The following is a 27,983-nucleotide window of genomic DNA, read 5'->3' on the forward strand; positions in this document are numbered from 1 at the left end:
AATCATTCCATACTTAAAGGATACGTAAAGTGGGAAGAAATTATAATCCCCAAGGATTCAATTCTGGACTCTGAAAGATGCATTTTTCATATTACTTGACATCTCTGGACTACTTTTTAATTTTATATTCATTAAAATATTAAGCTAGCAATCCCTCCTTAGGTGCTGGCTGTTATGAAATAAAAACGTTGCTTTTTTAGAATAGACTCTATTTTGTTCCGTGTTTTAAATTACTATACACAAATGGTAAAACTTTTCATAACAAAGGTTTAATTAGAATGGTTAATAACTATGATTTCCAAAGTGTCTGAGTCAGTTAGGGAGTTTTGTTCCATACAAAATGCTTTATTTAACCTTCATGCCTTCATTCAGATAATTATACAAATGCATACAGTTAAAGGTTTAAACTCTATTTCAGTTCACAGCTCAATTCATAGGAAAGTTGAATACAGAAAAGCAATGCACCAACAGAATATGTCTGAGACACCATTAAAAACAATAACACTTGTTCATTTAAATCTCTGAGAATAGACTGGAATAATCATCCTCTGAGAGAATCTCATTAGGAGGGTCTCCCTTTACATTATCATAGGGCAAAAAAATCACCATTTTACAGTAAAAGGAAAAAAGCTCTGAGTATATTTACAATACATACACTATACATAAATACAAGAACAACACTTACATAATATTAATAAACTTATAACAGGGTTGCCTAAACACTACAGAGTATATAAATGCAGAGGAAACTATTGGGAAATTAGGTCTTTAGATAAACTGGAGAAATAAATTCATTTGCAATTAAAATCCTGAACAGAAAACCAAATGAAGATTTAAGAACTCAACACATTTGCTTGCCAGCATCACTGGGGGGCTTTATCCTTTAATGTGTAGGACCTCCTCTGGGCACTCTTAACTCCCTGGGGTCAGAGACCCAAGAGTGTTTTGTAAAATTACATCCATAAAGCAAATCAGATGCAGCCCATCTATTCAATTTGCTGTTCAGAGGCTTCAAGCCTAGAATAACTGTTTTGTAAACTAAAGGATGTTTCTGTATTTTCACACGGACAGATCTCGTGATCCAATCACCACGTATAATGAGCTAAACGTCAAGGAAAAGAAAAAAGATGCCTGCTTGATTTGGCCAAAGATGATATTTTTCTTTATTCCCATGTATTTTTTTTTCAAATATGACTGAGAGATTTATTCAAAAGAACATGACGTTAGAATTGACCCCCACACACCAAGAACAACGTCTAGACTACTACTAATTATAACTAAGTCATTTTAAGTGGCAGGTGGGTATCTTAAAGGTGGTCTGTTCTCATCGTTTCACAACACAAAGTTCTGAGTACATTCTTCTATGGACAAACATGAATTTGCTGGTTTCTCTTTTTTTAAATGAGCATGTTATGATACACATAATTGCATTATGATGCAGGATGACATAATACATAAGACGATGTTTTCAAGCTGGTTTTATAAGTACTTATCTCACATCCACAGAGAGTTGGTTTGCCATGTGATGCAATGTGTCCCACATAGACATGAACAAAACAATACAGTCACTACCCCACAGGGGGACAGTGATTTTTCAAAATGAAGCTTTAAACACAACAAATCGTGGACAGACACGTTGATAGGAAAGAGCCTTGAATATAGGCACCAGTGCCCCAGTTCAACAATATCCATCCAATGTAATAAAGTTTGAGGAACAAAATATACACTATATTCTGGATGTAATTACAAAATTCTGCCATGGGAAAACTAGAACACAAGTAGGGCAAAAGCACTTTTTATGATTTTTTTTTTTGCCATATCTTTGGAGCATGAAATTAGCAGAAAGGGAAGATGTTGGTATGTCCCTAAAATATCTTACTTTTTGATTGCTTGGACACTTTTATCACTAGATTTGGATCCAAATTCTATCCTCCTATTAACCCTTACTTCTCAACAAAAATGAATCTCTGTGAAAGTCTTGATGAACCTGCTTTGGAAGAAGATGCAATAATTCACACAAGGAGTCCATTCATTGGTTCTCGCCTTGCACAAAGGGTGGACTCTGTCTCAAACACTTCAAATTTCTAGAGATGAAATCCAGAAAGAAAAAGTACTGAGGCGACTGTTTCCACTATTGATCTCTTTTCAACTCACTTCAAGTTGTGGTTTTTGTTGTGGAGAAATTATTGCTTGTGAAACCCAATTAACTGAGAAGGGCCCCAGTCTGCAGCAGGTTGTGCACATGGAACACTTGCTTTGAGCATGGAAGAGAATTTGTTTATACAGCTTCTATCTCTTTCCCCAGCCAAGTAACAGGGAGAAAGATAATAATTCAGGAGATTCATTTTCAGAAACAGAAACACTATGAGAAATGACATTCTCTTAATGTTTTCTAAGTCCATTAGTACTTCCATGAATCAATACTGTCAGAGACCTTGTTCTACACAGAAAGTGGGAGGAATTTCATTTCTCTGATGTTGGACAGCTTCTTACATAAAATTCAATTAAACTAACAACAATACTATAAACAAATTATTTATAAGACTATTTAAAACATTCCACAACAGAGCTGTTAAGTGAGAACTCTGAAAAAGAATTATCCATTATCTCTCCTTTATCATCATCTGAACGTTTGATTGCCACCCCATTACCAACTGCAAGAGTGGGCTCTGATATTAATCACTAGTTCCATGGGGGTGAAAATTTCAAATGCATCTGAAGCAGATTCTAGAATGTCTATATTGGTGGAAAGGTATACAAAGAGTTGAGGAACTGAGAAAGTGTACTCAGGCTAAAATGCTACTAAGTATTTGGATGATTTTGGAGCTCCAGGCCAGACATTTATGAGAAAAGTGACAAGTTCGGGGAGACAACTGGTTGCTATTGTTTGTTTATAATGATCCTTCATGCATGATTTTCCGGGAAAGGCCTGATTTCAAATATTCAGTACCATTGTTAAGTCATGTGTTATATCATGTCCCGATATTTCACTTGAAAAATATGATGACTACTCATGCATGTTGTCCATAATAAAATTACTGAGAGTCAGGAATCTGGGAAGGTGGTTTCGGGACACCCACGTGCAGTGTGGTGGAGTGGGAAAGATACAGGCAGACCTCCAGGTCAGAGATAGGCGGTTTCACTTTCCTACTCTGCCGTTTACTATTTCTACATCCATGAACAACTCAGCCACACTTCCCATGTCTCCGTTTCCCATCCATAAAGTGTAGAAATGTTGTACAGGTTGCAGGTAACGTATCTAAAAATTGCCTAGTCTATTGCTTGGCACACAGTGTTTAATAAAGAATAGCTATTATCTTCATGGTTTGCTGAATGTGTAACCTTTCAAGGTACTTTAGTTTTTTCAGACAACACATGGTAAGAAGCCCAGTCAGAAGACTTGACTTCAGTGAGATTAAGGAACCCAGCAGCTTTCCTTTGACACTTAATTGGTTATTTTACCCCCTTATCCTGGTACATTTCCGTCTCCCTTTTCTTCTTTCTAACATTGGGAGGAGAAAACAGTGGATGTTTTTTTGAGGCCTGTGGTCTGAGTCCATCATGGAAGTCTAAAGCCTGAATGTTTAATCACAGTCCTACTTTTAAAATTGCCCTTACCCGATGTGTGACTCTCCATGAGTATAATTTTACTGATAGCCTCAGTAGCTTGTTTGGGTGAATTTGTGCTCTGAGATGGCAGGGTTGGAGAATTTCCAGGGTTCATGTCTATTCATATAGTCTCATTGTATATTTCTATCCATGACTCCACTTTTAGCAGTACAGTAATTACAGGAAAAAACCTGTGAGCTTCTGAATGTGCATCTGGTAATTTTTAGGACTAACTGCAAAGATGGTTAAAGGCTAGGCTTACTAAGTGTCAGTGGTACTTCAACAGACTTTTTGGGGAGAAATGATTCTGTCAATATTCATTCCAAAATGATTCTTAAGATGATAATAGGAAATATTAGGGGAAAGGGGAATGAAGAAATGTAAAGATGAATTTGTGCGTTTGATATGAGTGGATAAAATGAACAAGCAAACAAATATCCTTCAGTCTTTTGCGCCAAATAAATTGGTGTTTTTAACTGAGCAAAACTTTTTGAATCATACATACTGTTTCATAAGTTTGGGGCAAATGACAGTCAACTTTTTATCTGGAAATTATAATTACCATATGCAATAGTGTTCACTGAAGATAAACTTAATGTTCAGATTTGTGTTCTTAACGTTCTGCAAGTTAGAAAGATCAAATTAAGAAATGTTAATGTAAACAAGATTAGGTATATTTGAAAGCTATAAAAGCGTTTTTTGTGGGCATGTGAACAGATTTGATTTACTATGTGTATGTATTTACTCTCTCTGTGTGTATGTGTGTGTGTGTTCACATGTGCAGGAAAAAACCCAGTCTTATTAAGAATTATTGCTGTGTAAAAGTATAGGAATATCTCATTGGTCATAAGGTTTACTGACAGGCACTTTCAGCATTTAATTTATTTCTGAAAATGGGCATTAGCTTATTCCTATTGCGAGTATAGATTCCTTTAACACGTGGCCATATCCACAGCACTTAATCTTGTCAACATGTAGTTATACCTAAAAGCAGTCTCCCTGGAATAAAACAAGAATAAACACCTGTATGGTTGTTCACACTCTGTTGAGGAGGGAGATAACTGAGAAAAGAGAACAATTGTAAGATGCTCCTCTTTAGTACAAGCAAAATCCTGTGCAGCTGTTTTGCCCTTTTCAGGAAAAGACATTACTAGTTTGGAATCAGTTGTCTGCAACTTAAAATGACTTCATTATATTTTAAACCATCCTGGCTAAACCATGACAAGTGGCCACTCTATTTTGAACAGAACACGAAGAGCATGCTCTGACAAAGTTGGACAGAGTTCCCATGGCAATTTCACTCATTGTGTGTAAGATATACAAGGCATATCTGAACAAGTTTTTTCTTTTTATTGTGATGAAAACTAGAAGCTCTCTTTCCCAACATACTTCATCAAACTATTTACAACCTCTGTAAAATTTGTGAGTTTGAAAATACTTTTTCCACTATCACATATGTTACGAATACAGTAAAATATCTTCACTCTATTTTTTAAAGATGCAGTATCCTTCTATTTCATTTTCTTATGAAAATCTGGATTTCTATTGCAATTGCTCAGTAATTAGCATATTTAAAGTATCAGTGGACATGGGTTACTAAACAGACATTATAATGAAACTGTGAAAATATAGCAATTTTTATGTACATTTCTTAACTATAAAATGCAGGCAGAGTCATATATAGTATTATAAGCCGGTTTCCTAATAAGGTAAGTAACTCACATTTCTAGACAGCACGGATTATTACAAATTCTTTTTAAAAAAGTTCTTTGCTGATATTTGTTAGCCCACTGGCTGCTGCATATACAGTTGTGTACACACATGTGCATGTGTTGGGGCTGTCTGTACAGGTTAAGTGGAAGGCAGTGTGGGGATGAGTAGAAATGTCATATGGAAGACATGACTTACCAAACCCCTTTCTAAACTAAAGCCAAATCTAATTGAAGAGACTTTTTTAATGGGATGCACTACCTCAGAAAAACTAAAGGAAGAGATTTGGTCAATGATGTTTTATACTAGAATACATTTACCTGCTAAGTTTACAGGCAACATTGAAGAGCAAAATCTGAGACTGGATTATGAACTATGAATATTAAGGCTTTCTGGGCCTATTATGATTCATAAGAGTTACCTCACATTCAGTCCCTTATACGCAGACTGTAACATGGATGCTGGTATTCTTAACACTGCTTAATTTCTGTCAATCCTCACTATAAATGTTAAGACATCTTTAGAACAACATCATGGCTACATTTCTAAGCAGTCATAACAACATAACAAAGGCGTATTAATACATTTTGAAGGCCTCACCTCACCAGATTTATTCAGTTGCAGCTTTGGTAAGTATAATAAATCAAGTACAGAATAAGGAATACTGCATCTTTATCCATATAAATGTTATCATTCTAATGAACTGATTCCAAAGTGCAGAATTATGTTTAAAACACAGATGGCAATTTAAAGTTAAAAAGAATTGTATAAAAATGAACACAATCTTTGCATAAGCTATTCCAAATCTGAACCATAATGAAAACGGCCTTTCTAATCACCTGGAACTGGCATTTGTAAACACTGTAGCATTTTGTAAGTTTTTCCCCTGACAATCATCTTCCTTTTTCCCACTTAAGCTTTCAAGTGAATGAAAAGTGCTCATTTTTTTAAAAAATGTGGTTTATGTTGCTGTTACTCAACTGCTTTTGAAAACAAATGTCCTATAGTGTTTTATAGAAACGACGCCAGGCAGAAGTATAATCTTTATGGTGAAGTCATTAGAAATCTCAGTCTAACTGCCTTAATAGAACTTAAGACAAGTTATCAAGCAGGCTTCTCAGAGTCCACACACAATTGACAGAATGAGGGCAGAGGTGGATGCAGAAGCGTGAATCTTTTTTCAAACAACTTAAGATCAGACCATGAAAAGGGATTCTTAAAACCTCAAAGGCTGAAAGTCATAACTTTTCAAATAATGTAACTCCCTTGAAATCAATCTCTATACTGCAAACAGAAAATCAGGTCTACTGCAGCTGCTTAAGTAGTTAATGGCTCTATGTGTATAAGTTCCCAACCATGCACATATCCCCAGCTGCAAACTGAACAGCTTCAAATTTAAAATCAAAGAATGCTTCTAGTTACGGAACAACTGTTATGTCCTTTAGGATTCTACTGCTTTTCTGTTGCTCATGATGCACTGTGCTTTTTGAAAGAGGCTAGAAATGGACATGAGATGAAATGGAGGCTCTTCCATGACTGAAGACATTCCATTTCTTTCTGTCCCAAACCACTTTCTCCTTTCCATGGGGAAATACTTTTAGAAAACTCACCAAGGAGAATTTGCCACGTCTCAAGACAAGCCCCAAAGAAGTTTCAGTTCCTGAGGCTAGACCAGGGACTCAATTCACTTAATTGTGCTTAGATCCCTTCTTAGAAGTACTGATACGTCAAAAGGGGAAAATGATGGAATGCTGACAGGTTTTATCAGTTAACTTACCATCTCAGTCTGGTTTCCACTTTCAGAGGATGAGGGAAAATGTTCCCTTCCCCAAATCCATCCTATGTTATTAGAAAAGTGCAACTCATCTAGTTCTGTGCTAAATTTAAACCAAGCTGTCACTCAGGAAGATTCCCCTGCCTGTCAGTTTTATGAATTCTAAAAACCAAGTCTACCTGTAATACTCTCAAGACATCTTTCAGCAGAGAAAAGAACTGGCTCTTTTTATGAGAGCAAGCAGGACTAAATACAAATCTACACTTCACTTGAGAGATGCACCCACTACTTGCCAACTAGGTGCTGGTACTAGTGCCAGGGGGTTCATGGCTGTGTTTGTCCCTCTCTGTGTTCTCTGTCACTGACTAGTAACCAGCACTGGCATGCATCAACAGACCTTTTTCTATTCTGAATGGTCACAGGCAATGTGAAGTAGGAGTTGCATATAGTACAAAAAAACTTTCCAGGTGCTAAAAAAAACCCACTGGTTGATGAGTAGTAGACTGTGCAGCTAAAGATGCTATTTATCACTAGAACTGCAGCCCTTGTTGGAGGGAAATTGCTTGATGAATTTTTGAGACCTGGCAGACAATATAGAGCACATATTTGTGAAGCCATAATTTGACCTGAAAATCATTACACTGTTGCTTAATGTTTTAAAAAATTCCTTTTGAATACCATCCAACACAAATTGTCCTTGTTTCAACGTTCATAGTTCTCGCTTCATCAGAATAAGATTATCTGAATTAGAAGATGATCCTAAAAAGGGTAATTCTGTAACCGGAAATTATTTCAGAATGTCCAGACATTTAAAAATGAGCTAGTAATATTGTGAGGTTAATATGTGCAATTCCCAAAATCAAGTGTTTGTAATTAAAATATATTGCAAAGGTCTTTGTTGGAGACCTTTTATATCTAAGCTATAAAAAATTCTAGCAACAACAACAATAACAACAAAAAATCTCACCAGCCCCTCAGCCACAGAAAGCTGGAAAAAAACCCAGCTTGTGGTGGGGACAAAAATATGGTAATTTTTCTGAAAGAATGCTCGTTGGTGATGTATTGCTTGTTTACTGTATATGTTCCTAGTTGCAAAAAGGTTCATAATTTTATGGGGCTGATGGAACTAACACCTTCCTCTCATCCTCTGCACAGGATGAGTGGGTTCAATATCCCTGCAGATGCCAATGCAGGACACCTGGGTCCTGATACAGTTTAGAAAATGAAATCGGTATAGAAGAACCTATTGGAGAGTCACTTATCCTTGGCTCTCCAAGAGAGGAAACTAGCACCATGTCGGGCTTTCTATGGGAAGCATTCTCTTTCCACTGATTCAGTTCCAAGGAGAACTGACCCATTAACCGAAGAGTTAATTCCCGGCTATGCCTCCCTTGCCTTTCTAGTCACCAAATAACTGTTTTCAAACAAGAAAAGGGGAGCATAATCTTTAATTGTGGTACTCAACCAAGCAGGACAACAAACAGCAGAAAGATTACCTCAGTGCTGTAAATGGAACCAAGACACCTAAAATGCTGGGGTGTTTTTTACAATCCCTTTAGTAAGTATGAAAATTGGTAACGTGAGTCCTCAGTGAAGTTATTGTAGGAAAGTCCTTTTATTCATTATTGCTTTTCTCCTCAAGAGGCGCATTATTTCCATCTCTGCTTTGTCTGAGTTTTCATGTTCACTGACTTTGCCTGGGCAGCCCCACCTCTTACCTTGGTGCCAGTGTGTCTAAGAAAGTTTTTTTCCCCTGGTTCCTTGTAATCAAATACTAGGGGCAGGAAGAGATGATGCCTAGGTGACAGAACACTGCAATTTGAAGTGGGGCAGTAGTTTTTTAGACAGGCTCTTCCTATTCAACTACAGAACACCTCTGTGCCAGTCCATGCCAGGGCAGAGACCAGGACGAGACTTCAACTGCCCCTCTGCTCGAACAGATGAACAAAACAGAATCGAAACAAAACAAAAACAATCAACGACAAACAAATGAAAGATTCAATGTTGGTTTTCTTCAGGGCATGGCAGAATGACAAGTTGAGAGTGATATCTAGTGGCTGCCATCGCGATTGCAAAGGGCTGCCTGAGTGCCCTTTCTTTGCAGGTAATGGGACCTCTCCATCTGCTTCTTCGTTTCTACTTTCATGCTGCTTGCTGGTAACAGATTGGATGTGTGTTCTAGCTTACTCAGATTGTAACTAAAATTTCTGTAAAAAGGGGTTAAGGGATGGGATGATGGGAGATTCATCCAAATTTAAAAGGTCTTGCTCTAGCCATCAATTTGTGGTAGGTGACCTTTAAGGTATCAATAACAAAATGTCTGACAGCTCAGAAAATGTACAAGCTACAAACATCTTTAAATGGCAGAGGACACAGCACGGAAAACAATGCCTGTCTCTTCAGCATTTATGTCACTGAGCTCCCAGGCCCGGGTAAAGACGGTTCTCGTCTAGTCATGATGGGGGTTACCTTCAGACCAAAAGAAGTGTGCCTTCTTTTTCCTGCTCTGGTTTCAGACATCGTGGGATGGTGATGCCCTTTTGTGTTAACACTGTGAAGGGGATTCAGCCCTGCTGAATTGGGTGCCGCTAAGAGATCCAGCTCTTACGCTCAGCTGGACAGGTAGCATTCCTCACACCAACATATGCCTCCGGCGGTGCAGGGCCAAATGATCTGACCGGGAAAAGCTGCGATCACAGTCCGCGCACTTGAATGGCTTCACTCCCGTATGTTTGCGGTAATGCCTCGTCAGTTCATCTGAACGAGCGAACTTCCAGGTGCAGCCTTCCCAGGTACACTTGTAAGGTTTCTCTCCTGGAAGAAACAAAGGAACACAAGCTTTGGTGCTCCATCCATCACTTTGCCATAACCAGGCCAGTACTCTATTTTGGGAAACTGGTGTTCTCAATGAATTTTCCCGTTGGTAAATCTTTGTCGGGAAACCTTACCATCCCACCAGCGGTCTGGGTCAGACAGGTGATGGTTTCAATCTCGTCTTGCCTGCTGTGACATCTGGCAAGCTAGTTAACACTGGTGTCCTCCATTATGACTTTGCCATCAACATATAAAGGCATGGATTGACTGCCACTGGATATATCACCACTAGTAGACTAAAAAGAAATTACTAAAGCTTTACCCAGTTTGATTTGATTTTAAGGCTGAAAGTCACAAAGAATTCTTACGGTCAAGCAGTTATGCCTTGTTTCAACACCCCCCCACGCTTCCCCCTACCAACTGTGCATCACTTAGATGGCTTAAGGCTATTTTAAAACACAATGTCCAAGAATATACACAAAATTTTACTGAACGATAATGTACTCTACTACCTCCAGATATCAGGTATTAAGTACATATTGTTCATAGATATCTATTTTTTGCTTGTTCTTTGGGGGAAAATCCTAGATGCCTTAATAGTGTAAAGTTTAAGTACATTTTTCAGGACTTAAGAATCAGGGTAAGCCCTGAGAAATCATCACGTTGGTCCTAGAGCTAAAATTCACAGAGAAAAGCTGTCTGAAGAAGCATGTAATTTGACCGGGTCTCTCAGTCAACTTGTAAGGACAGTAAAATATGCAAAGGCTGTGCTGGGAAAAGATACACTAGCCATTGTCCAAATGAGCTCCCAGGGGGAGTGGGACAATAGTTGACCCAGGTGTGCCATTTTCCTGGATCTCATTCAGAATGGGAGGCTTGTCCCCATGCAACCCCACAAAAACTGATCTCTCTTCTGCCCCTTACACCCAACAATCTACAATGTGCTCCTTGGCCACATATGGCCTCTGGTGAAAAGAGCCTAAGATAGGGAAGGGAGCTATCTGCTGTTCCTCATGCACAAAGCTACAAAGGGGGTATTGTTGACACCACTTCACAGATGAGAAAACTGAGGCTTCAGGTAGTAACATTACTCAAAGCCAGTAAAAAGATGTGCATGGCTCTCAATCCAGTGCTTTTCACTATTTTACAGTGGAATGGATTAATTCTTACCCCATCTAAATTTTGTCACAACTTCAGACAGAGTTAGTGTCACTTTCTTAGGTATGACCAAATTATTCACTTCCTATTTCTATGACATCACCTATCACAATATACCATGAAGATTTCGTTTAGACGCCCTTCTGTACCAGTTTCCGAATACTTGGAGATCTGGGACTATTCTGCCTCTACTATTTCAGTGTCACTGGAGCCTAGAATAGCTGCCAAGCAAGTACTTGAATGTATTAATACAACTGCAACACACACACACACACACACACACAAATACACACACATAGGAACATATATGGTAAACTACAGGACCCTATAAATGAGATGTGCAGGTAATGCCTACATGGGAAAACTAGTCCAAACTGGACCCAACATTTTTCATTCAACTGTTAAATCAATGCTGTCTGTGTGGATTCTTACAGGATCAAGCAGCCCTTTCAGAAGAGAGTGAATAGTTCAGGCCTGTTAAATCTAGAAATACTGATGGACTAATTGTGGCCCCAGGTTGCTCTAGGTTTTTCTGAAAGGGCTCCTTTTAAGAAAAAGCCTACTGCCTGGATTGACACCAAACCTCAACTTCTGATTCACTGTGGTTGTCCCATGGAGACAAAACTGCATTTGCATGTGTCTACTGACCAAAGTTTGACAGAAATGAAACAAAAATCAGCAAAACCCCTAACTTAGAAAGATTGGAGGTCTACTATATAGTATTATCTACATGCTTTTACGTGTTACATGTCATCTCTACATGTTTTTGAAATTTATACTATGAGCATAGTTGAGCTTGATAAAATTCATCTTTTCAAAAATACATCCATCTTTGGTACATTGAGCTGAGCTAGTTGGATGTTGGTCACCGAGAGCCATTTCTTAGCTATTTCCTGTGTTGCTATGGAACCAGCTAGAGAGAGTGTAAGGCCTAAAAAGAAAACAATAAAATTTCATCTTCACTGGAGATGAGCGTTGCTCAGTTGTGTAGTATAGAAGGACGTGTCTTGGTGAGGGAGTAAACATGAGATTAGATAAACTGGCTGGGTGTGGTTGCTTACGGCAGTAATCCCAGCACTTTGGGAGGCCGAGGTGGGAGAATCACTTCAGGCCAGGAGTTCAAGATCAGCCTGGGCAACAAAGTGACATTCTGTCTCTCCAGAAAATTTTTTTTTTAGTTAGCCAGGTGCAGTGGCATGCACCTGTAGTTCCAGCTACTGGGGAGGCTGAGGCAGAAGAATTGCTTGAGTCCAGGAGTTTAAGGCCGCAGTGAGCTATGATTGTGTTACTGCACTCCAGCCTGGGTGGCAGAGTATGACCCCGAAAGAAAGAAAGAAAAGAGAGAAAAGAGAGAGGAAAGGGGGAGGGGAAAGGGAAGGAGGAGGGGAGGGGGAAAGAAAAGAAAAGATAAGCTGCTGGATCCTGCCCTTTACATTCCAGATAGTGAAGGAAGGGGTTCCATAACAGGAGTGCACCTGGGGAGGAGAGGTAGACAAGAACTTCCAGGCTCATCTTAACAAGGATGTGAGAGGCTGGTAGCAAGGTAGAGATGATTTATACCTCAGGTGCTGTCTAGCTTTTTTTGTACTTCCAATTGAGTCACTTAAAATTCTCTAATTTCTTCCTTAAAATGATACCAGTCATACTTTCATTTTTATGTTGGCTATTTAATAATGGTAGTTATGTCCTTTCCACTTGAAAATCTGGAGCAGGGGGTAGTAAACTGCAGTCCCCACTTTTACAATTTTAAAGGTTGAAAAAACAAGAGGAATATTTTATGCATAAACATTATATACGATTTAAATTTTAGTGTCCATAAATAAGTTTTTATTGGAGCACAGCCACATTTATTTATTTACACATCATTCCGGCTGTTTTCCAGAGATGGAAGAGTTGAATAGCTGCAACATATAATGTATGGCCTTCAATGCCTAAGACCTTTACTATCTAGTCTTCTATGGAAGGGGTTTGCCAACCCCTGATTTTTATAAGAGATGGCCATCTCTGCTTTTTGTAAGCTTCGTGAATATGTTAGCTTATTGAATTGGGATTATATATTACACATTGGGTGTTGGAAATGGGTGGGTGAGGGAATGTTTTAGTTACAGTTCAATCACTTAATCTCAAATTAGGATCCTCGATTCAAATTCTAACAGTCCTCTCAGTGATAAACACACATGATATTTCAAATACTTCAAATTGATTTCTGGGCAACAGGAAATGAGTCACTCTCTTAGAAGACTCACCCACTGAGGACAGTGGCTCAGGCTTATAATCCCAGCTACTTGGGAAGCTGAGGCAGGAAGATCCCACTTGAGGCCAGGAGTTCGAGATCATCCTGGGCAATACAGTGAGCCCCCCCACCCCCCCACTGCAATCTCTAAAAAAAAATAAAAATAAAAAAACGTAGCCAGGTGCAGTGGCTCACATCTGCAGCCCCAGCGATTCGGGAAGCTGAGGTGAAAGGATTGCTTGAGACCAAGACTTCTGGTCTACAGATGTGCTATGATCATGCAGCTGCATTCCAGCCTGTGTGACCAGGCAAGACCCCGCCTCCAAAATATAAAAATAAATAATTTTTAAAAATGAAAATTAAAAAAAATTGAAAAAGGCTCACCCAACTCAATCAGACCTAAAAATATCCTCAGAATCTTCTGCTCATTAAAAAAGTACAATAACCTCACCTATGAGGGTGAAGGTCACATGGTATGAAGATCAGGAGTGCCTCTCCATACTTCACCTGGTAACCAAAAGTAAGGATTCTACATTACGATGGTGCCCCACCTCACCTCCAGCTCCTTTAAATACTGTTGTATTAAAATAGCCACTGTGAACACTGATGAGTTACCTTCCTATTGAGTCTGGGAAGTGGGGTTACAACATGAGAAGGATCAGAAAGTAGAAGCTGAGATGTTTGGAACTGTTTCTAAGATGGCTATTTTAAAGGCAGAAGCAGCAGGGAAAACAGCACCTGGTAGAGCAAGGGTTTGTCTGAGCCCATAAATGTAGAGTGGGGAAACAGTGCAAGTGAAGTGTGATCAAGTGTAATAAACAATCGTGAAAAACAAGGGAAGAGGCCTCAGAAATACAAGAGGCAGATACTTCCCTACTCCACGAATAAAATCAATAAAAATGATATATAAATTATAAGCTAGGCCAGATGCGGTGGTTCATGGCAGTAATCCCAGCACTTAGGGAGGCTGAGGTGAGAGGATCAATCACTTGAGGCCAGGAGTTCAAGACCAGCTTGGGCAATATAGCAAAACCTTATGTCTATCAAATAAATAAATCAGCTGGTGTGGTGACGTGCATCTGTAGTCCCAGCTACTTGGGAGGCTGAGGCATGAGAATCACTTGAACCCAGGAGGTGGAGGTTGCAGTGAGCTGAGATGGTGCTACCGCACTCTAGCCTGGGTGACAGAGCAAGACTCTGTCTCAAAAAATAAATAAATAAATTAATTAATTAATTAAAAAGAAAAAATAATAATAAAAAAATTTATAAGCTATTTGGGGCTAAGTAACTAATGAAGGCATGTAATAAGGAATGAAAACCTTTCCTATGTGGGGGAGGGGGAAGAAAGTATATCAGAAAACAGTAATTTAATTATCTAAGTGATAAAATGAATTTTCCTTGAAATTTTCCTTATAAAAACATACACTTTTACGATCCCCCCAAAAATCCTATGCATAATATTCTTCGCTCCCATTGCCCCATTAATAAAATTAGAATTTAAGCATTCTCTCACCATGCTTAAAAAAAAAAGAAAACAATATCTTCAATTCTCTCCTCAAAATTAGAGGCTGAGTTATGGGGGTAGGGGAAGAGAAGATGGCTACTGTGTCCAGCCAGAGAGCTCAAGAGAGACCTGTTTTCATTATATACGCCCAGTGCCTAGTATTTCATTAAAAAAAACAAAACAAAACAGGAAAGAAAGTCTATAAGTGCTCTCTTTAGACTAGTGAAATTTTAGAAATGGATACCAAAAATTTGAGTAGCTACTGCATTGTGTTTTAACAGGACACTGTATCTTATGTTTGTGCTTTGAAGCAATTTAAAGCACACAATCTTATAAACACATTAAGACAGCAGAAACTAACTTCATGATGAGAGTAAAAAAACTAATTAGAAAGATAATTAAGTTTGTAAGATATCCAGTAGTATGTGTAAATGAGCCCTGAAAGGCTATCATAAAGAACAGAATTGTCTTTTTTGTCTTCTTTCCTTTAAAAACTTGCTAGAAAATAGAAAGCTAAATATAATTTTTAAGAAGTCAGCAGCAGGGACAGAATGGTGAATTTTCCATGAAAATGTTCCTATGAAAAGAGTTGGCTGGGACAATAAATGGAGTCAGACCCCTCCCAGGGCCTGGGCTGCTGCTGCACCTGGGCGACTCTGCATCAGGTTGAGCAGTGGTGATCAGAAACTTGATTTCTATTAATTTCTTTAGAAATAATGCATTTCCCCTAAACTCATTTGAATTAGAATTCTTCAAATTACTTGAATTCTGTAACACACATAAGAGGAATGTGCAAATGTGTTATTCAAAACTATTTTCTCTGGAAATAAGCTAAAAATAAAGACAGCCTACCTACCTTCTTTGCTTCTTTTGTCTAACTCACAAGTACACAGTCAACCTCTTTTGACAATAGTCTTTAAAAATGTGTTTTATGTTTTTCTGAATAATCTAAAGTTTTGACTTTACTTTGATTTGATAATCTTTGATTTTGGTTTCTTATATTAAATCTATGAAAGAGCAAACTTACAGAAAAAGGTATTGTGCATTTCTTTGCCAATAAATCTTAATAAGTTTTTTTTGTTTTTAAGTTGAGACATTACATTTTTGATGTAAAGAGAAAAATCAAAGGACACTAGTTGGGTAACGGGTGGCTAGCTGGGTGATACCATGCCAGTGCTTGGTGTATAGCTTATTAACTTCTAGGTCTTCAATTCTGAAGGGATGGTCTCTATGTCCCATGATAAATCCTTAGGCCACTTCCAGGTTTTGTATTTAAAAAAAAAGAATATGACCATTTTCACCACAACCTGTGCTTCTCCAGTTCTGTGAAAAACCTGGACTAAACTAGGAAAACTTCTGAAAAAGAAACGTGTTAACCAACACTAATAAGAAGAGCATCTGTTTTTTAAAGTGAAATAGTCCTCTAAATGTTAAAAAAGACGACATACCACACACACACACAAAAAAAGGGTGGGGGAGGTGTGGTTGTTATTGTTCATCCTGAAAACTCTGTAACTCCATTTCGGAGTTCATGTTAAATACAACTTTCTATGTATATGCAGCATATAAAAATGTAGGTATTATTTAAATAGACTAAGTGTTCTGGGAAAACAAAAACTCACATCAGGGTTTTGTTTTGTTTTTTCTTGAAATAACCAACTGATGGATTATGAAAACGGCTGTCTCTTTCAATTTTGGTTAAAGAAAAGGATTAAGAGTCACTAAGTGCATTTCCATGACATTTACCCAGCAGAAGGCAGAATAAAGTCTAAAGAAAACACCAGGTATTGAATGGATTCCCAAAACCCACCAAACAAAAATAACTTTTTCAGGTACCTCCCATTTCGCCATCTGAAATGCTGAAAGGTACATGTGTACTGAGACAAAAGACAGGTGCCCTTTCATATTAAAATGACGTGTGAGCAACGCACATAAGAGGAATGTGCAGTTTGAAAAAGCCTGTGTTAAACAAAACATCCATGTTCTCATCAGCTTCTCTATTATTTTCTCAAGCAACTGAAAAGGAACACCTTTTGCAACAGGAAGCACAGGCATTTTCTTAGGTTCAGAAGTGCATTTCTGAAACGTGTCCCTGTTTAACTTTTATAAAGTTACGGGGCCCCAGACACTGACAAATGAGCTTCATTACATTCAAGGCTCAACGTATTTGCTGTGACAATCTGTTTCACTTGAGGAATGGTATTTGCATATGAGGAAAAAAACAAGAATCAAGATTCCTATCTTGTCTTCTGGTTTCTGTTACATTAGTTCATGAAAGTTCACAGAATCTAGATCTGGAAGGAAATTAGGTACCTTCAAGATGAGGAAACTGAAACCTAGAGGCGGGGAAAGAGCTGAGATTACAAGGCCCCTGACTTGTCTGCAGACAGACCAGGCGGCTATACCTCTTCATAGTTTACGGCAGCATACAATACCACAGGTTTTGAAATCTGAAAGAGCACACAGCCATATACAGGCTTAGTCACCTATATGAGATTGATCCAAGGCCAAAAAGTTAAGCTTTCTGAAAGCTTCCCAGTTTGAAAGTTTCCCAGTTTCCTCATCTGTAAAACAGGAATGCCATTTACTCCTGCAGCACTGTTGGGAAACTCAAAAATACACACACTACATACCTGGCAAATAATACCCACTCAATAAAGGATATTTTATATTTACAAAATTCAGGGTATTTCTGTTTTTATAAAGAAATAAAAATAATATAAAGTTAAAAATGGATCCTGTTTGCTATTTTTTCAGCAATTAATTATAGTTTTGGGGTAAGCAGATGCCAATCCTGATGCGATTTTCTTAACATTTTAAAGTATAAAGGTACTTTATAGGCCAAGCAGACCAATCTATTCCATAATGTCCATTTGGTCCTGTCAATTCAATCAAATAAGTAATCAATATGCCAGTCTCCATCCTACTGAATTGCCTGGACTGAATTAATTGGCTATCTTTTTCATTAGGTATTATGAAGACCAAGTGGGTTCCTTCTTTCCTCCTCTAAATAATACTGCATATTCTCTAATAAGTATTGTTGATAAAAATTATATTTGCTAAAGCATATAGTACTTTCCATGTACCATACTTTGCTCTAAGAGCTTTATGGATATTACCTCATTTAATTTTGATAACTTCCTAAAGAAGTCGTTGCAATAACTAACCCCACTTCACCCAGTGTCGTCACCCAGTTAGCATGTGTCTCAATTGCCACTCACCCTGCCTCTCAACATTTTAAATTAGTGCTGTCATAAACCAGGATATCTGGTCAGAACTGGGCACGGAGACTGCAAATGTGAGCTACTACTCACAGGACAGACAATAGTGTTAACAAACACAGGCTAGCCCTTCTCACCCAGAAATCCGATATAAGTGAACTAAAATATCCCATAATAAAAGTGAACTTTAGTGTAAGTAAAAAGTTCAAGGTCAAAAGACAATATTTTATTTGGCTGTTCTGAGTTTTCATTTCTACGTAGTGACCTTTCTTTTCCTATGTGACTGGTTACTTTTTCCTTGGTTTCTTTTGCAGAGACCTCTTCCTTTACCTGTTGCATAAACGTTTCCAAAGATTTTGACTTAACTTCTCGCGTGGCAGGTGTTCCTCTTGGCTCATATGTCTTCCACTACAACCTATAAGGGAAAAGACTCCTAAGCAGCTATACCTCAGTCTCTCTCCTAAGCGCCAGAGAGGGAGACAGGACATTTCCAACTGGTGGTCTGAAAGCATCTTCAATATGAGCAAAACTTGCTCAGCATTTGCCACCTAAACATGTTCCTCTTCCGGTTTTTCTGGAAAAACAGTAATTCCATCTACTCAGGTACCAAATCGTCAATGTCTCCAGTTGGAGAGATTTCTTGGACTCTTCCCTCTGTGTGACTCCCTGCCTGCCCCACTCTGATAATTACATCTGCCAGTTCTGCCTTCTAAAATCTATCCAGCAATCCTCCCAGTTTATCCCCACAGTGGTGGTCTACCTTGCTTTAGGTCCTTTCCACCTTTTACCAGGACCAGTTTCTAATGATTCTGTTTCTCCGTCTTGCCTCCTATGCACACCAATTTATTGTCCATGCTGTAGAGAAAGAAAACTTTTTGAAAGATAATCTGATCATGCCACTTGTTGGCCCCATAGTACCCTGAGACACTCTCTTCACACCACGCTGTGATTGAAGGTTTTCCTCTCTGTCCGACTCAGCAGTGCCGACTCAGCAGTGCCGTACTGTGGATGACTTTGAGCCTTCTTACCACTGTATCCCCAGGGCCTAACACATTAGTGCTGTGTGCTAATAAAGACTTGTTGATCAAAGGAGTGAAACTACTTTAATTTAAATACTTTGTTCTTTTAAAAATAGAACATAGGAGGGTCAACATAAGAGTAATCTATTTTGTGAGACAAAGAGAGTACACTGTTTACATTCTATCTATTCTATAATGTTTTCTTGTCTAATGAATTAGAATACATACTTTTGAAAATAAAAATATATTTGTGAGGTATCATTTAATACTAGTGCCACTTACAGTTCTAGTCTGCAAACAAATATTTTGTTTTAAACCTCTGAAATTAGTAACGTGTGACTGAGCCTTGTATTCTGTTGCTCAAATGAGCATTATTTTAACATTTAAAATATATCTCTTACAATTGTATTATTCTTAGTTATGGAGATTTTTAATTGAATTATCATAAGCATTATGAATCAACATTTTATTTATTTATTTATTTTGAGATGGAGTCTTGCTCTGTCGCCCAGGCTGGAGTGCAGTGGCATGGTCTCAGCTCACTGCAACCTCTGCCTCCCAGGTTCAAGCGATGCTCTTGCCTCAGACTCCTGAGTAGCTGGTACTACAGGTGTACACCACCATGCCCAGCTAATTTTTGTAATTTTAGTAGAGATGGGTTTTGCCATGTTGGCCAGGCTGTTCTAGAAGTCCTGACCTCAGATGATCCTCCCACGTCAGCCTCCCAAAGAGCTAGGATTACAGGTGTAAGCCAATGTGTCCAATCCTATTTTTATATATTCTTTAATGATGAATCTATGTTCTATCAAAATACAATTCCTTATTGTCTTTAATAATTCCATTAAAACCACAAATTTTATATTAGTAGTTAATTTTACCATTTAGGATATGACCAACACTCAAATCTAGTTATTCTTAGGCAGAATGAGAGAAAGTAGAAAGACTGAAGATATTATTATTCCATACCTTTTATATAACCCAGCTTTGATGGATGTATGGATAAAATGAAGCCAGAAGCAAAGGAAGGAGAATGATGTCACAAAGACACGATAAAGATCCCATGGCGGCCGGGTGCAGTGGCTCACGCCTGTAATCCCAGCACTTTGGGAAGCAGAGGTGGGTGGATCACAAGGTCATGAGATCGAGACCATCCTGTCCAACATGGTGAAACCCCGTCTCTATTAAAAATACAAAAATTAGCTGGGCGTGGTGGCACACACTTGTAGTCCCAGCCACTTGGGAGGCTGAGGCAGGAGAATCACTTGAACCTGGGAGGCAGAGGTTGCAGTGAGCCGAGATCGTGCCACTGTACTCCTCTAGCCTGGCGACAGAGTGAGACTCCATCTCAAAACAAACAAACAAACAAACAAACAAAACCAATGGCATCTTTAACTTTGCACTGTCATTGATAATTTATATGCTAACACAAACAGAATTATGAAACACAACTCATTTAGTTATTTATTTAAATGAGGTAATAATGGATAGGTTTAGAAGTCTTTTCTAAATATAGGAAAAAAGATCAACTTATTTTTAATTGATAGGTTTAGAAGTCTTTTCTAAATATAGGAAAAAAGATCAACTGTTTTTTAAATAAAAATAAGGTAAAACTTTTAAAACAAAATTTGTTCAACTATGTACAGAATGGTTGCCTACATTCCAATCATTGTAAATCTTAAGCATGTGTGTCTAAACAGTAACTCTCCATGATAGGTTAAAATGACTCTCTTCCCCATTGATGAAAATAAGTGCTACACCTGCAAAACATTTTGTTACCAATCCAAATTTTTTGTTTTCCTTGTTGGAGGTGGCACTGAAACATGCTTGTCTGCATAGGCAGGTGATGCTTGCTGCATCCCCCCAGTCAGGACCAATGACCCCTTCAGTGCTGCTGTAGCAACCTGCATAGAGCTCGCTCAGGGCTTTCCTATTACGTATTATTTTATATGCTGGATATGTGTGAATGAGGCTGTCTCTCCCACCAGATTTAGGACTCCTTGCTGTCTTCATTTGTACACAGCACCCATTACATTCAAAGAGCTGTGTGCCAAACAAGCACTCAAGAGCAGCCTATTTAATTTTATTTAATGATTAATGCTTTTGGTCCACATCTTCTCACTGGCTTCTAACAAAATTTTAGTAGACTATGGAGAAAGACCACTCTATGTTAATTAAAGCCTTAAAAACAGATTAAAGTCTCTTGCTCTCTCATTACTTTACCGTCCCTGAAGGGCTGATGCTGAACAGGTAGGTACTGCTGGGTAGACATGCATAGGAGCACGGTTCCAGTGAAGAGAGAAGACTCGTAGGTTATCAGCAAACTAGTCTGAGACCAGATATAAGGAAAAGCATAGGCTCGAGAGAAACCAGAGTTTCAATCCTGGCTCTACTGCTTTCCTAATACCTGCCCATGTCCACGTGCCCTAACCTTGCTCCTTTCCAGGGATTTACATGTGTGATGAGTATATGTAAAGCACTCGAAGAGGTATGTTTGTGTTCAAAGGTAAAAAAGAAAACCTGAGATTCACACAAGTAGTTTGTCTAAGTTCACTAACAAGTTAGGGGCCAAAGAGATTGAAACTTTTGTCTCTGGACTTCAAGTTTGGTGATATTTCTATTATATTTTCTAATGTCTCAGCAGTTACCAATATAGCTCATATTCATGAGCTATTTGATCAGGACTTACAAACAACTTACGGGGAGAGGATTTTTCCTTGAAAAATGTCAGTGTGCTCTTAAATGATTTATTATCTTGGCATCACTAAGCACTATGCTTTATCTAACAAGGAACCTAGATGGGGGGGTCTGAAATGGAGCTTTATGTGGAATGAGCTATTTAATTAATGAATACAGATGTGAAGTCATGAACAGCAGCACTCACTCGTCTGAAGTTAAGATCTAGCAACCACAAGCACCTGCGAACAAAAGGCCACCAGGATGCACAGCTGTCACAAAGCCCCTGATTTTCTTTGTAGGAATATCCTCAAACCACTTCAGAATCTCATCCAGTAAATGAAGATGAAGATTCAAATTAGAAGCAAGAAATACTGGAATAGCAGCAAGAAATGATGAGGCAAGTAAGAAAGTGAGAAAAGACAGAATCTGCAATCATTTAGGATCGCTATGTGTGGAGGGGCGTGTGTACATATGTGTGTGTGCATTCCAAATATGTAATCAAATATAATTAATGGAATAAACATGTAATAGTATTTGATATTAATTACAGAGACTTCATTCATCAAGAGAAAAATTATTAAATAATGTGTGGTTTCATAAAGGTAGGGAAGATCATACTCTGGAAACCATTAAATCAGAATTGCTTAATATTTTTAAGTGTCTATATGAATAAACTTCCTTAATGTACAAAATTCAGATATGAATAATTCCTAAGAAATGTGACTACCTTAAGTTTACTAATTTTTAAGGTTAGAGGTGTATGGCTTTCATATGAATTAAAATGAATATTATACAGGATTACCTACTGGGCCTCACAAATTTATCAGAGAACAGTATGTCAATTGGGGATAGAAAATATTTCCAGATTCATTTGAACAGACTATTTTTACATATTGTAATTCCTTTGCAAAAAAAATTTGATTTTATCTTTATTTTGCCTTTTAAAAAATTCATCATTAAATTGTAATATTCTGCAGAACACTGATAATGTCAGTGTCATTGTTCCATTTTAATGTCATGTCATACATACTGTTAGAGTTCTAGTTTCTCTTCAGACCCTCTTCTAGACTAGACCCAACATCTGGTTCTGGTGCACCATCTAGTGGCTGTAGGAATCACTGATGCCTGAATGTTACTTGCTTTTACTGCATTGTAGAAATTACTAGAGCATTTATTTTTTAGAAAATAGTGAGAATTCTAAAAGGCAAAACCAAATTCACAAAATTATTTTCTTCTAAAATTCAAATGCAAATCAGTTAATAAGCAATAGAACTCTTAACGTGAGGGAATCCATAGTGCATAATTGTTTTGTATAGCACATATTTAAATGACCATATTAATTTAAATGGCAATGCATACTCATTTAAGTACTAATATTTATTTGTGAATATGCATATTTATTTAAATACTCTGTAAACTGCTTCATGTACAGAGACCCACAATTTAGACAGTGGATATAAATAATTAACCTGCTGACAATAATGTGTATGTGATGGCTGAGATATATTTTTTCCTTTTTTTGACATGCCTTAAATGATTAAGCACAAGCAGGCATTAATAAACTCATTCAAAAATACTTGGTCACATCTTCGTGTTATTATCTAAACTGTACACTCATGAAAATATACTTATTTTTAATTTAGAAAGGCACTCCTCAGCATTTCTTTTTCTATTCTAAATTCTTTGCTAATATCTAGAAAATGTACCTCTTTCAAATACCTACAAATATGTTTAAGTTACTAAGTTGTAAATAAAAAGATGACTGATCAGGTACTTATATGGTACAAAAAGATGAAGCATTAAAGGCAAAATTAACTTTCTCAAAGCAAGTTTCTCACTGATACTTACTCCCCTCCCATAGCGTGCATGGCTCTCGTAAGTCAACTGGTATAATCCCAAATTCCAAATTAATTGTTGGTCACACACAAGTAACTTACTCAATATGCCTGAAGCAAAGGTAAGGCTAAGAAGATGTTTACTAAGAGCATGCAAACCAACCTGATTCCCTATAGAAATAGTTTTGATTTCATTTTGAACACTGTTACAAAATCTTATACATAATTATAAATCAGAAGTCAGGATGGGCTCATTTTGAACTAGTTACAGAAAAATCAACCAAATTTCACTTTTTTTCTTTCTAAAAATAATGTTATTTGACTGATAATAGTTCAAGGAAGCCATGACTGCACATAGTAACTATCTCTCTGCTAAGTGGATGAATGGATTTGACATATCTTGGTTTTGGGCAGGTATTTCACAAGGACATTTAGATTTAACTGTGAGGCAGAGAAATGTGAGCTGGAAACAGGAGAGCTAGGTGGATTCTGGCTACTGTTTAAAGAATTAAGACCTATCTGAATGGAGGCCTCTCGGATCATGTCTTAGGGTTTTTTCCTTGAACGCATCCCATTCAATACATTCATCAATTACCTGGCACAGATGAAGAAGCTGAAACAGACAGCAAAAATAATGAAAGCAAAGTGGGTAGGGAGAACTTTCAAGTCATTTCAATTTATTAGAATAATGGGCCCAAATCAAGAAAATGAATATAGAATAATTATTTCTTAGACTTGAAAAAGTATGTGCAACCTCAGAATAATGATTCTGTCCTGTATTTCCAGCCTGTGCCTCAACACTTTCAGTGATAGGGAACACACTACTTCCAAGCAAAGCCATCATTAAGGGACAGCTCCAACCACACATACAACATGGCATGTTTAGGTTTAAAAGAAATCTATTATAGGTACAAGGGATAGACAAGATACAGTTGTTAGCAGTTTTTGATTTAGATAACCCAATAGAGTAAACTGCTAAAAAAAACTTAACACCATTTTTGCATATACAGGCATATCTTATTTTCCTGCACTTCACTTTATTGCATTTCGAAGATATTGTCTGTGTGTGTGTGTGTGTGTGTGTGTGTGTGTGTGTGTGTGTTTACAAATTCAAGTTTTGTGGCAATCCTATGTCAGGCAAGTTTACTGGCGCCATTTTCCCAAGAGCATGTGCTCACTTTGCATCTTTGTGTGATACTTGGGTAATTGTCACAATATTTCAAACTTTTAAATTATTATTATATTTTGTATGGTGATCTGTGATCAGTGACCTTTGATGTTTCTACTGTAATTGTTTTGGGTTCGATGAACTGTACCCAAGACGGCAAACTTAATGGATAAATGTTGTGTGTGTTGTGACTGCATCACTGACCAGCTGCTACCCCATCTTACTCCCTCTTCTTGAGCCCCCCTATTCCTTGAGACACAACAATATTGAAATTAGGCCAGTTAGTAACCCTAAGTGTTCAAGTGAAAGGAAAAGTCATACATCTTTCACTTTAAATCAAAAGCTATAAATGATTATGCTTAGCGAGTCAGGCACTTCGAAAGCTGAGATGGGCTGGAAGCTAGGCCTCTTGAGCCAGTTAGCCAAGCTATGAAAGCAAAGGAAAAGTTCCAGAAGGAAATTAAAATGTTATTCCAGTTAACACACAAATGATAAGAAAGCAAAACAGCCTTATCGCTGATTTGGAGAAAGTTTGAGTGGTCTGGATAGAAGATCAAACCAGTTACAATATCCCCCAAAGCTAAAGCCTAATCCAGAGCAAGGGCCACTCTTCAGTTCTTCACGGCTGAGAGAGGTAAGAAAGCTGCAGAAGGAAAGTTGGAAGCTAGCGGAGGTTGGTTCATGAGGTTTAAGGACAGAAGCTGTCTCCATAACATATAAGTGCAAGTTGTAGCAGCAAGTGCTGATGTAGAAGCTGCAGCAAGGTATCCAGAAGATCTAGCTAAGATCACTGATGAAGGCAGCCATACTAAACTACAGATTTTCAATGTAGATGATATACCCTCCTATTGAAAGATGTCATGTAGGACTTTCTGAGCTAGAGAGGAGAAGTCAATGCCTAGCTTTAAAGCTTCAAAGGACAGATGGACTCTTGTTAGGGACTAATGGAGACAGTAACCTTCAGCTGAAGCCAAGGCTCATATACTATTCTGAAAATCCTAGGGCCCTTAAAGAATTATGCTAAATCTAATGCTAAATCTGCTTGTGCTGTATAAATGTAACAACAAAGCTTGGATTTTACAGCATGGTTTACTGAATGTTTTAAGCCCACTGTTGAGGCCTACTGCTCAGAAAAAAAGATTCCTTGAGAAATATTACTGCTCACTGACAATGCACCTGGTCACCCTAGAGCTCTGATGAGATGTACAAGGAGATGGATGTTTTTCTGCCTGCTAACACAACATGCATTCTTCAGCCCACGGATCAAGGAGTCATTTTGACTTTTAAGTCTTATCATTTAAGAAATACATTTCGTAAGACTATAGCTCCATAGCTAGTGATTCCTCTTGTGAATCCAGGCAAATTAAATTTAAAAACCCCTGGAGAGGATTCACCATTCTAGATGCCATTAGGAACATTTGTGATTCATGATAAGTCAAAAATCAACATGAACAGGAATGTGGAAGTAGTTCATTCAATCCTCATCGATGACTTTGAGGGATTCAGGGCTTCCATGGAGAAAGGAATTGCAGATGTGGTGGAAACAGCAGGAGAATTACAACTAGAAGTGGAGCCGGGCGCGGTGGCTCACGCCTGTAATCCCAGCACTTTGGGAGGCTGAGGTGGGCAGATCACCTGAGGTCGGGAGTTCGAGACCAGCCTGACCAACATGAAGAAACCCTGTCTCTACTAAAAATACAAAACTAGCCAGGCATGGTGGCACATGCCTGTAATCCCAGCTACTTGGGAGGCTGAGGCAGGAGACTCACTTGAAACTGGGAGGCGGAGGCTGAGGTAAGCCGAGATTGCGCCATTGCACTCCAGCCTGGGTAACAAGAGCGAAACTCCATGTCAAAAAAAAAAAAAAAAAAAAAAGGATTAGAAGTGGACTCAAGATGTGACTGAATTCCTGCAATCTCATGATAAAACTTGAATGAATGAGGAACTGCTTCTTACGGATGCGCAAAAAAAGTGATTCTTGAAATGGAATGTATTCCCAGTGAAGATGCTGTCAACACTGTCCAAATTACAATGAAGGATTTAGAAGATTTTATAAACTTAGTTGATAAAGCAGCATCAGAAGATTGACTGCAATTTAGAAAGAAGTTCTATGGTGGGTAAAATGTTATGAAACAGCACCACAGGCTACAGGGAAATCTTCTATGAAATAAGAGTCCACTGATGTGGCAAACTTTATTGCTGTCTTAAGAAATTTCCACATCCACTCCAACCTTTAGCAACTATCACCCTGATCAGTCAGCAGCCATCAACACAGAGGCAAGACCCTCCACTAGTCAAAAGATTACGACTCTAAAGGCTCAGATGACTGTTAGTACTTGTGAGCAATGAAGTGCTTTTTAATTATGTACTTTTTTTAGACAATGCTATTGCACACTTGAGTATAGTGTAAACACAACTTTTAAATGTAATAGGGAAACAAAAAAATTGTGTGACTTCCTTTCTTGTGATATTTACTTTATTGGGATGTCGGGAACTGAACCCACAGGATCTTTGAGGTACGCCTGTATTAAGAGAAGTCCATTCACAGGATATGTTCCCTCAATTTGTGGTATGAAAACTTAAAAAGACACAGTGATCAGTTGGAGTGTATCTACAAAGACACGGCTGAGAAAACTGGAGGTGTTTGATTTGGAGAATTAAGATGTTAGTTGGTTCATGACAGTGTTGAGAGGAACACCGGGGCCAGTGAGTGAAAATTATAGCATTATCATTAGAGCCATTCTGTTCAACCAGAAGGTTCCAAGACCTAAACAGCACCGTAAGAGGCTACTGGACATTGTAAGAGAGGAGAACTCTGTCTTCAGATTGTGTTGCAGAAGAATATGCGGCCACTCAGAGCATTTAAGGAGAGTTGGTTAAACTACTAATGTGGGAACAATAGTCAGCCAGAAGTGCCAAAGAGATAATAACAGCTACAACCATCTGGTTGTTAATAACAAATTTTTTAAAATACACATAAGTATGCAGAAAACTGCACAGCAGTGACTTGCTCTCTGCGAAATATGACACGCAAGGGGTTCCCCGAATTAGGAAACACTAGACTGTAACATATAAAGTCCATTCTGACCCTTAGAGTCTGTGATTTCATTGTATTAATAGCCAAGCTAATCAATTCTGCTTCAGCATAGCATTCAAGGTTCAGATTGTTTTGAATTACAATGCATAAATGATGTCTCCTCTGCTCTCATGGTGTATGTTAGAATCTGTAAGATGCAATCCTATACTGCCATGGAGTTAAATC

The 27,983-nt window shown here is 38.1% G+C and overlaps 1 protein-coding gene across 20 annotated transcripts in view; it reads right to left on the reverse strand.

The window, feature by feature from the left end:
- Positions 1 to 324: 324 nt before the first annotated feature.
- KLF12 (KLF transcription factor 12) overlaps positions 325 to 27,983 on the reverse strand; it is a 619,957-nt gene continuing 592,298 nt past the window's right edge. For 16 of the 20 annotated variants that reach the window (NM_001400153.1, NM_001400139.1, XM_011534909.3 and 13 more), the window contains one exon: positions 325 to 9,907. In NM_001400153.1, coding sequence (NP_001387082.1) covers positions 9,847 to 9,907 — 61 coding nt within the window. In that variant the 3' untranslated portion in view covers positions 325 to 9,846. Of the gene's footprint in view, positions 9,908 to 18,353; positions 18,439 to 27,983 lie in introns of all 20 variants that reach the window. The other 4 variants (XM_047430082.1, NM_001400146.1, XM_011534908.4 and 1 more) reach the window with 2 other exon arrangements.

Source organism: Homo sapiens, chromosome 13, assembly GCF_000001405.40.
Source record: "Homo sapiens chromosome 13, GRCh38.p14 Primary Assembly".
Classification (NCBI taxonomy): domain Eukaryota; kingdom Metazoa; phylum Chordata; class Mammalia; order Primates; family Hominidae; genus Homo; species Homo sapiens.